The 11,527-nt window shown below is 41.2% G+C and overlaps 1 protein-coding gene across 3 annotated transcripts in view; it reads right to left on the bottom strand.

Moving 5' to 3' along the window:
• The window catches only part of RAB8B (RAB8B, member RAS oncogene family), a 78,171-nt gene that overhangs the window by 8,616 nt on the left and 58,028 nt on the right, over nucleotides 1-11,527 (bottom strand). For 2 of the 3 annotated variants that reach the window (XM_017022312.1, NM_016530.3), the window contains 3 exons: nucleotides 9,456-9,516; nucleotides 3,577-3,654; nucleotides 2,567-2,656 (listed from right to left, as the gene is read on the bottom strand). In XM_017022312.1, the coding sequence (XP_016877801.1) occupies nucleotides 2,567-2,656; nucleotides 3,577-3,654; nucleotides 9,456-9,458 (171 nt within the window). In that variant the 5' untranslated portion in view covers nucleotides 9,459-9,516. Of the gene's footprint in view, nucleotides 1-2,566; nucleotides 2,657-3,576; nucleotides 7,878-8,683; nucleotides 8,794-9,455; nucleotides 9,517-11,527 lie in introns of those variants that run through there. The other variant, XM_011521669.4, reaches the window with a different exon arrangement.

Here is an 11,527-nt window from a genome sequence, read left to right as displayed (position 1 = left end):
GTGACAGAGCGAGACTCTGTCTCAAAATAAATAAATAAATAAAATAATAATAATAATTTAAGTACTTCTCTTTTTTTCTGTTTTTGTACTTTTAGTTCTCTAATATGGGATAAATACCCACCCTCCTAAGGTAGCAGAATAGGGTCTGGAGGCAGGGAACCTAAGGCCAATTCACATTGACTTCCTAGAACTAAATCAAAAGAAAAACCCCAGCCTTCCATGCCCAAGTAACAAAAGTACAGGGGTTACTCCCTTTGCAACCTCCTCCCCTTTTCTGACTCACAGATTAAAAATGGAAAGTACCTCTGATTGGTCCCCTCCCACAACCAATCAGACGTCTGCGCAGGGTATAACTTTGTAACTTCATTTCATCCTTTGATTGGTCACCTTCTGCAACCAATCAAACTGGTCATGGGCCACTACTTCATTTACAGAGTGTAAACCAAGTAACCCATGGGAAATTTCTAGAGGGTATTTAAACCCCAGAAAATTCTGTAACCAGTGCTCAAGCTGCTTGCTCAAGCCCACTCCCACTCTGTGGAGTGTACTTTCATTTCGATAAATTTGTGGTTTTGGCTTCATTCTTTCATTGTTTGTGTGTGTGCATTTTGTCCAATTCTTTGCTCAAAATGCCAAGAATCTGGCTGACTTGTAGTCAAGACCCTCCACTGGTAAAACTACCATTATCTTGGGATTCATTCACTCCTTTTATCTGCTCCCAAAGTTTAATTCTCCAACAGTTACTGTATTGACTTTTAGGCCGGGTGTGGTGGCTCACGCCTGTAATCCCAGCACTTTGGGAGGTCGAGGCAGGCAGATCACCTGAGGTCAGGAGTTAAGAGACCAGCCTGGCCAGCATGGTGAAACCCCGTCTGTACTAAAAATACAAAAATTAGCCTGGTGTGGTGGCAGACGTCTATAATCCCAGCTACTTGGGAGGCTGAGACAGGAGAATCGCTTGAACCAGGGAGCCAGAGGTTGTAGTGAGCCAAAATTGTGCAATTGCACTCCAGCCTGGGTGACAAGAGTGAAACTCCATCTCAAATAAAAAAAAAAAAAACTATACTTACTTTTAATTACTTTTTTTTTTTTTTTGAGACACAGTCTTGCTCTGTTGCCCAGGCTGGAGGAGTACAGTGGCACTATCTCAGCTCACTGCAACCTCCGCCTCCTGGGTTCAAGTGATTCTCCTGCCTCAGCCTCCTGAGTAGCTGGGACTACAGACGCACGCACGCCACCATGCCCGGCTAATTTTTGTATTTTTAGTAGAGACAGTGTTTCACCATGTTGGTCAGGCTGGTCTCGAACTCCTGACCTCGTGATCCACCCACCTCGGCCTCCCAAAGTGCTGGGATGACAGGTATGAGCCACTGCGCCAGGCCTTAATTAATTTTAATAAATGAGTCCAGAATTGAACAAAAACTTAAATACTAAAGTATTCATGCTTTGATTTCTATTGATTGAGACAAATTGCGAACTCTTATATATTCCTCAAAAAGTTCCTAGTTCATTTACAATGCTAAAATTAAGTAAATGTTTTTAGGGGAAAAAAGTTTGCAGCAAAAGTTCACAGTCAGATTGAAAAACAAAATGTGGCTGGGCATGGTGCCTCACACCTGTAATCCCAGCACTTTGGGAGGCCGAGGCAGGTGGATTGCTTGAGGCCGGGAGTTCAAGAGCAGCCTGGCCAGCACGGCAAAACCGCGTCTCTACTAAAAATACAAAAATTAGCCGGGTATATGTGTGTGGTGGCACATGCCTATAATCCCACCTTCTTGGAGGCTGAGGCATGAGAATTGCTTGAAGCCAGGAGGCAGAGGTTGCAGTGAACTGAGATTACGCCACTGCACTCCAGCCTGGGAGACAGAGCAAGACTTTGTCTCAAAAAAAAAAAAAAAGAAAAGAAAATGCATTTTGCATATATAATTTTTTTAAAGGCTAAAGCAAAATTCCAAGACTTAAAAAGTGAAGCTTCTAAGTCAATTTAGAATCTGTCACAGAAGTAAATATGTACACAAAATATTCCTTTGCTTTACAGGACACAAAAGAGAGAAATGCCCATGCCCATAAACAACATATAAATGACATCCATAGCTTGATCAGTTACAAGGAATTTATCCATAAAACCTAACGCTAATGTGTAGTAAAATATTCTTAGGGAAAAAAATGAATTGGAAAATGATTCCTGTTGAAACTTCACCTATCCCTATAACTTCTTTTTCAAAAAGAATGTTTACTTTAACTTCAAAACTGGGCATTTTCACACAGATCTGGAAGAAACAGCCTGAACTCTAAGCTGCAGGAATCTGAGAAAGGACCAATTTGTATCTCCCAGAAAACATTAGCAAATTCTTTAGGAATGAGTCATGACCACACAGTATAGAGAGCTGGATCTCGAATACTAATTCACACCATTCAAGTATGGATTACATCTCTTTGTTGTTGATATCCAATTTAAAGGGATTAAAACACAGATTTTAAAAAAAATCAATAATTAAATAATATGAAGAAAAGAAATGCTTAATGTGAGTAGATTCCAACCTTTATCCATTCCATTCACATTTACCTTCTCCCCTCTTTCTTTTGACACTTGTCTTTTGTCATTCATATCACATTTGTTACCCAGGATCATTCTTTCGACATCGGAAGAGGCATGCTGCAGGGAGAAAATAGCATGCTATAAAAACAGCCTGAGAAAAACCCGTTACTTAATAGACAAATCCAACCTGTCAGAAACACATGAATTTAATAAGACATAATCTTTTACTCACACAAGGCCTAATTCAGAGAAAAGTTTAAAGATGGGAAGAGGGGCAAAGCTACAGTACAAGAGCCCTCACAGAGCCTGTGCAAACCTTCTTCCCGAGGTTTGGAAAGAAGGTGGAACAAACACAAATAAAGCTTATGGTGATCTAATGACAAAATTTCCAAATATTCAGGTCAAAGAAGGACAAAAACTTGGTACTGAGTGAACCAGTGGAGATGGTATTCTAGATTCTGTACTATTTTAAAAAGAAATTCATCTAAGTTTATAGAAACGTGTACAAAATTATTTCAGAGTCAGATTTCTTTCTTAAGTGACAAAGACATTAAAAAAATCTTAATACCAATTATCCTGGAATTAAAACAATCTTCAAATATCTAAGATGGAGAAAATGTCAGAAGGGCAAAAAGTTGCCAAGGTAAAGAGATAATTGTTGCTAGCCAAACAGCATGGTGGGATAGAAGCTGGGAACCAGATGTTTTAATCCTGGCTCTTCTTTTTAAAGGCTGTATGAGCACAGGCAAATCACTTCTTTCTGTTCTCAGTTATTCATGTGTAAAATGTGATCTAGGATTAAATTATTTCCCATATCTGGCCCAAGCTTAAAATCTTGTGACGTTACTTCTCTGTCCCCCTAACCCCCAGTAGTCAGACTGGCAGCACCAGAGATTTATGGAGCTCTTCAGAGAGAGAGGGCCCAACCTGCCCATGCCCTGCTTCTAAGCAGCTCAGCTGCCTTGCAGACAGAGGAGCCTTTTACAAGCACCCAGCAGGACTCTTCTCCAATGTCACCATTCTCTTTCCACACATACCTCTTCAATGTTTCTGATCCAATTTTTAATATTGTCAAAGGATTTTTCATTTGTGATGTCATAGACCAGCATAATGCCCTATAAGGGGGAAAAATATCTTTATTTAGTACTTTATATATTTAAAGTTATAGTATATAATGTCAATGTACTCCTACCCTCCAGAAACCTTTTGTTTGTCCATTTTTTCCCTTTAAAAAGGGTTCATAATAAATTTGAAAAGTACAGAGAAACAAAAATCAATAAATACTTATTCCACTGGTCTCACCATGTAAATAAAAACCCTTTTAACATTTTCACTGTTAACCTTTAATGAATTAGTGATCGTGGTAAAGGTGATACACCCTTTCTACCTGACCTCACATGATAACAATCAGCCCCAATTGGAGCTGAGTGTTAAGTCAAAACAGCGATAACATTGAGAGTAAGAGTTAATCACTTCCACTGTGCACTTGTTTATTCCAAGTAGAAACTATCTTGCTTTCTACTCTTCTACTAAGATTGAGACCACACTGCTTTAAAATTATTTTTTATGTAGGTTGATCAAAAAATAGGTTGTCACTATTTATCTAAGTACATCACAGACACTTAAAATCCAATGCATTTGTTATACTGGTTTAATGAAAGGCATTCTCATCATATTTTTAAAGACTCCATGTCTGGTATTTCTTTTTTTGAGACACAGTCTCGCTCTGTCACCCAGGCTGGAGTGCAGTGGCATGATCTCCACTCACTGCAAGCTCCACCTCCCGGGTTCACGCCATTCTCCTGCCTCAGCCTCCCGAGTAGCTGGGACTACAGGCGCCCGCCACCACACACAGCTAATTTTTTGTATTTTTAGTACAGACAGGGTTTCACCATATTAGCCAGGATGGTTTCGATCTCCTGACCTCGTGATCCGCCCGACTTGGCCTCCTAAAGTGCTGGGATTACAGGTGTGAGCCACCGCGCCCAGCCCATGTCTGGTATTTCTAAAAGGTTTACCTTCCAAATGTTTAAACTAACACCTGTATGCTACTGCAAAATCTATATCCCCAGACCACACTTCTGTACTAAGTGCTAGAACTACTCACCTGTCCATCTACTACATAAATATTTAGTGAGCACCTACTGTGTGCCTGATACTATACTAGATCCTACTAGCAGTGAACAAGATAGAAAAGGTCTCTTCCTCTTGTAGATGGCTAACAAAGACAACAGACAATAAACCAATATCTATACAACTAATTATAATTTTGACAACTGCTATGAAGATGCATGGGGAGCTCATATGCTAGGGGTGTAATTCAATCTGGTTGAGGGGCTGGAGTGGGCAGGGGAGGCTTCCCTGAGGAAATGACATTAAAGCCAAAGCCTGGGAACTTAGTAGACTTAAACTAGGCAAAGGGCTAGGAGCTGCGGTGAAGAGGGGAAGCCCAGGTACCTGGCAAATAGCAGAAACATTGTAAATCTCTTGCTGATGTTGAACCAGAGACCGCTGGATTGAGTGAAAGAAAGTCAGCTTGGCAAGGCTGCACAGATCTAATGGGCGGAGGGCACAAGCTGAGGCTGAAGGGCTAGGCTGGGGTACTCAAGAGACCACTGTCTGGACATTGGCCAATAGATATCCCCTTGTGATCACGGCAAACTCAACAAAGTAAAACAAGATTGTCTTGTCTCCTCTGAATCTTCTATTTGTCCTTGTATTACCATTTTGGTGAAAGTAATACAACCCAGTCAGCCAGCCCAAGCACACATGTGGGAGTTATCTTCTCTATAGCCAATCAGTCACTAAGTCCTGGAGACTCAATGTCCTAAATATTCCAGAATCTTACCTACCACACACATGGCCTTATTCAGATTCTCACAAATTAGTCTTTACCTGGATTCCCATCATCTTTAATTGATTTCCCTGATTAATTTCATTCTTTTTTTTCTTTCTTTCTTTCTTTTTTTTAGAGATGAGGTCTCGCTATGTTGCCCAGACTGGCCTCAAACTCCTGAACTCAAGCAGTCCTCCCACCTCCGCCTCCCGAGCTGCTGAGATTACGGGCATGAGCCACCACATCCAGCTTCCCTGCTTTCATTCTTAGCCTCCTCTAATCCACTTTCCGTAAGGGTACTAGAACTATCACTTCATTGATCAAAATCCTTTAGCACCTCTCCTTTATACTCAAAATTAAATTAAATTTCCTTAGTATGGTAGGGGAAGTCCTTCCAGGTCTGGCTTCCAACTTTGTAAGTAAACATAAAATATAAATAAATATAAATCATATAAAACACACATATACACATAGACAAAGAATACATGAAATAAAACGTTAACAGAATATATCTCTCAGAGTAGTGGGATTTTAGATGATTTCTTGGGATTTTCAAAGTTTCCTGTAGTATATGTATCCTTTTTGCAACCAGAAAAACATACATTATTGTTTAAATGACAAACAACTCCTCTATCCTCCCTTCTTCCAGCCTCAAATACAAATGCTTCACTTTGGCTACACGCTGTAAAGGCAATTTACAATTGTTTCCATGTAAATAATTTTATTTTATAAAGGTCAGCCCGGGCATGGTGGCTCACGCCTGTAATCCCAGCACTTTGGGAGGCCGAGGCAGGTGGATCACCTGAGATCAGGAGTTTGAGACCAGCCCGGCCAACATGGGGAAACCCCATCTCTATTAAAAATACAAAATTAGCTGAGCATGGTGATGCATGCCTATAATCCCAGCTACTAGGGAGGCTGAGGCAGGAGAATCGCTTGAACCCAGGAGGTGGAGGTTGCAGTGAGCCGAGATCGTGCCATTGCACTCCAGCCTGGGCAACAAGAGTGAAACTCCGTCTCAAAAAAAAAAAAAAAAAGTCAAAGTAAAGAACTATACATTTTAAAATGGTCAAAATGATAAATGTTCTATTATGTATATTTTACCACAATAAAAACAATTCAAAGTGGATTCTGCATAATTCCTGATGCAATGTGTTTGGCTGCCTACAATATTAAAATTACCCAAATAACTGCCCTAGCTCTACCATCCTTTGGACTGTATGAACAACCCAGATCATTTATATGCCATGTCATCATGAAGTTTCATTTCACTGGTTAGCACAGAAAGTGTGAACATGGTGTGGTGTTAAGAACGCAGGCTAGAGTCTGAGGCTTCTAACTTAGGCTCCACCACATATTAAATGGGAGATCCTGCAGACATTATTTTATTCCTCTCAGTCTCCATGTCCTCATTTACAGAATGAGGACAATACTTCTTCCACGCTTGATCATTTTGAGGATCTACTGAGATATTTGTAAACTACTTCACCTAGAGCCTGGGACATAGCTTGGACTCAATAAATGGCAGCTATTATTAATTTATATCTTCAGTTTCAATAGCAGAAATCATTCACCTATTTCTTATGTTTTTAAGCTAACTGATATTATGAATCAGTTAGAAATACAAATTCAAGTGTATCGGTTAAAACTTTATGTATCTAGTATATATCTACAAGAAGAATAGCTTCCTAAGAATTCAGAAGATGGTGTTGGTCTATGAGAAACATTAATAATGTAATGATATGGTCCTGTTTTTCCCCAAAGCCCAAATGTCCATCAGGATCACTGCTATGCCTATGAATGCTGTTGATGTGTTTGAAATGCCATGGTGACAGACTCCAGTATAGTGCTTGTCAACATGCCACATACCTGAATCAGCCAAACTAAACCTGCCATAACCACCACTTGCTGAAAATGGTGGGCCCGGCAACCGACTGGAATGGATGACTTGAGAGATCCAAGAGTCAGGCACAGCAGGATTTCCTGAAGATTTATCCAAGATGGTGTCTAGGTCTAAAATTTCCCACTGATTCACCCCTTCAGCCAGCATTTATTGAGCCTCTACTATGTGTCAGACACTGGCATTGTATACAGCAGAACAAAGACAGAAATCTCTACCTTCAAAATGTGGAAGGTAATACTATTTAGAATAGCAACAATTTCTAATTATCTGAAGTAATGTGAGGAAAGACTAGGCAGTAAGTAAATTAAGACAATCCTCAAATCTAAATGTATTATTTAATACATTTCCATGCCCTCTTTCTTCATACAATGAACTAGAGCCAGACATCCAAGTGAAACATTTACTCTTATATTCTAAGTGCCACTGCCCACCCTCCAGTGAAAATGAGCATGCAAATGGTGTCAGCACATCATTCCTAGCATGCAAAAAACTGCTCAACAGAAAGGCATGTGTGTCTAAGATGCCTCTAATCAGAATTACCTGTAAACTATTCCAAATCATCCCTGTTATGATGTTCTTTTTATCCCTAAAATTCCTTCCTGGGGGAAACAAACAAACAACAAACAAATGTCTTCCTGGCACATATAATAAGCCCCTTCCCTTTGATTCCAGTCTAAGCAAAATAGAAAGTGGCTGGCAGCTATTTTTATTAAAATGATGACCCTTCACAATCTTAAAAGTATTATAGGGTGGAGTGTGGGGAACAAATACACATAAAATGGTTAGTGGTACACTTCAGCCTTAAAAAGGAATCCCTAATCTTTTTGTGGGGATGAGTTATGATGCTACTCCAACACTGGAGAGCAAGTGGTGGTGGAGGAGGAAGGGCAGCATGTCAGTGAGGGGATCTGTGGGTTCAGACCACATCTTCCTAGAGGTGTGGGGACAGCTATCACCCCTTCAGCTCTGTCATCCTAGCACCACTCCCAGGAATACAAGAATCTTTTAAGCAATGAGTTGGGAATGACGGCAGCTGGTACCCTACAATCTACCAGGTTGGGGTTCATGACCTCAGTTGTTCAACCTTCAAAGACTCTGAGCATACTAGATTTCATCATAATTCAAGACTCCAACTTGTGCTTGGCTTAGGCCTAAACACCAGCGATAAAGCCGTGGTCTGGGCCTGGCATTCTAAGCATGGTTAAGCACAGCTCATGGAAGTAAGGCAGCTTCCAAGCTGCCTTACTCACCACTGCACTCCCAGCATCACACTGCCCAGAGCCAAAAAGCAATAAAAGTGCACTGAATAGATGAAGCATCTTAGGATAGAACATAACAAGTGATGAAGTTATGACAGCAAGGAAAATGCCTGGATTCAGCAAATAACTTGGTAGTCAAGATTCACCAGATTCTTTCCGGCCAGCTGGCAGAATGGTGGTCAGGGGGATGACAGGGAGATGAGCCACAGCAGTGGATGTTGTGGAGGTGGTGAGGTAAGAGATAATGGTGGCAGGGCTGAATGACAAGAGAGTATAAGAAAAGAATACTTAGTCATAGGGCTTGTGGTTTGCTACGACTGCCATAAGGTATTAATAAAAGGAAGAATAATGAAAATATACAATCACATCAGAATGTGTGGAGGAGTTCTAGAACATCTATAAGTTAATCACCTGATTATTACGATGAAGACCACTGGCAAAGTATATAGTTGCTAAACACAACCAAAAAACCTTTTTTTTTGAGACGGAGTCTCGCTCTGTTGCCCAGGCCAGACTGCGGACTGCAGTGGCGCAATCTCGGCTCACTGCAAGCTCCTCTTCCTGGGTTCACGCCATTCTCCTGCCTCAGCCTCCCGAGTAGCTGGGACTACAGGCGCCCACCACCGCGCCCGGCTAATTTTTTGTATTTTTAGTAGAGACGGGGTTTCACCTTGTTAGCCAGGATGGTCTCGATCTCCTGACCTCATGATCCACCCGCCTCGGCCTCCCAAAGTGCTGGGATTACAGGTGTGAGCCACCGCGCCCGGCCCCCAAAAAACCTTTTAAATGTCTTGTTTCCCCATCAGAAAATTTATTTTTCTACATACTAGACTCCATCTTGAATCCTATAATCTTGGCAAACAAACATTCATGCTTTACTTCTACCTGAAGAGTTACAAAACCCTACAACACACTCACCATGGCTCCTCTGTAGTACGCTGTCGTGATTGTTCGGAATCTTTCCTGACCCGCTGTGTCCCTAAAATATGAAACAAAGGAGAGTGGTTTTTGAAGTCATCACCAGCATCACTGAGGAGAAACCCTGCTGTAGGAGATGTAATTCTAGTCTGCTCAGGGTGCAGTGGTCACAGAGGAAAGGAGAATGAGACACAGAGGGAGCCCTTTGCACATCTGCAAGCTGGAGGTGGTGGTGGCCACAGGAGCCTGTCAAGAGCTCACAATGACCTGGGTGAAAAACTCAGACCTTGATAAAAGCAGCAACAGAAAAATACACAGAAAAATCCTGCTAGGAACTGGTGTGTTATATTAGTCAAACACACGTGGGAGGGAATAGAGAATAGTTCTAAATTCTTCGACTCCCCGAGATAGTTATAATCCTTTTTGTAAGTGCTTAATGATTAAAGCACTTTGCTTTCTTGCCTGAATGTCTGATTTCTGTATAAAGCAAGCAATCGAGCTGGACTTATTACTGTGTACATTCTGCTCAGTAGAGCACAATAAAATAGATCTCCTCAAGAACTTGTTCAGCTATGGAGCCCATGATTTCATGGGGACCTGGAGTTCAACACATAAATCTTGACAACGTTTTCAAAGACTTTTAAACATAAACAACATGTCAAAACTATATAAACTTTCATATATTTTTGCTTTTTAGCTGATGGCATACCATTAAAATGCATTCTGAAAAATATAAGAGTTTCTGATTTCATTTATAGAAGCAATCCTATAAAGGAAGTTAAATTTCCTTGATACTTGAGAAAATCAATATTCTCAAATTTCCCACTTCCAGCCAGAACTAATTCATTCCCTGTGCTACTAAGACAATTTAATTGCAGGAGAGAAAGAGGCATTTGTGGAAATATACTAGAAATCTAGTATATACCAAATCCTAATAAAAGATGAAGGCCCAAGGGAATATCATAAGTTAAAAAGCAATAAACACCTTAACATAGACATATATCTTACAAAATACTTTCACACTGCACTCACGTGATGTCTACCACAGCCCATTAGGGTGGGCTACTGGCTGGGGGTGTTACCAGCATCCAAGTTCTGCAGATGAGGAAACAGGCTCAGAGGAACTATGGCCCCAGCTGTGCCACTAAACAGCTCATATTCTTTATGTATTTATTTATTTGTTTGTTTGTTTTTGAGATGGAGTCTCGCTCTGTCACCCAGGCTGGGGTCCAGTGGCACAATCCTGGCTCACTGCAACCTCTGCCTCCTGGGTTCAAGCGATTCTCCTGCCTCAGCCTCCCAAGTAGCTGGGACTACAGAAGCCCACCACCACGCCAGGCTAATTTTTGTATTTTTAATAGAGATGGGGTTTCACCATATTAACCAGGCTGGTCTCAAACTCCTGACCTTGTGATCTACCCGCCTCGGCCTCCCAACGTGCTGGCATTACAGGCGTGAGCCACTGCACCCGGCCCAGCTCATACTCTTGAAGGAGACAAGCATCTTAGGTCTCAGCTGTTCAGCTCTGGGCCAGGCCTTACAAAAAAGCCATCTTATCCTGTCATTTTCTTTGATCGGCATTAGATGCATGGGGCACTTGTTTGCTGCACCGCTAACAAATCATGGGGAAATGGAAGGCAAGCACTTTTTAGCAGACTAACCATATTTCTCTGAGAAACCCAAGGAGGGGATCATGAGAAAAGATGTAATTTTTTAAATCTGTAAAATATTTGGCATCTTGTTCAATACCAATGGATGGAAAGGGCAGCCTATAGTAACCTTCATAACATTTTCCAGTGAAGTACACTGGAAACCACTAGGAAGCCAATCACTATGTTCCAGGGCAGTTGAGTAGTTATCCCAGCTTCATCACATATGCCCTCGAGTGGACCTAACCACTCTCAGTCCCTGTTTCCTTCTCTATAAAAGAAGAGCTGGGGGATATTCTTCTTCTGTCCCAGTTCTGAGTTCAAAAAAGAAATACAGCCTAAGGCAACAGCTAATATGTATAACTTTACTCTTTAGCCCTGCCTCGTTCTTAGCCAGTGCTGCTCTGAATTCTACGTTTTGTC

The sequence above is a fragment of the Homo sapiens genome, chromosome 15, assembly GCF_000001405.40.
Source record: "Homo sapiens chromosome 15, GRCh38.p14 Primary Assembly".
Taxonomy (NCBI): domain Eukaryota; kingdom Metazoa; phylum Chordata; class Mammalia; order Primates; family Hominidae; genus Homo; species Homo sapiens.
This window is presented reverse-complemented; position numbering and strand designations above follow the sequence as displayed.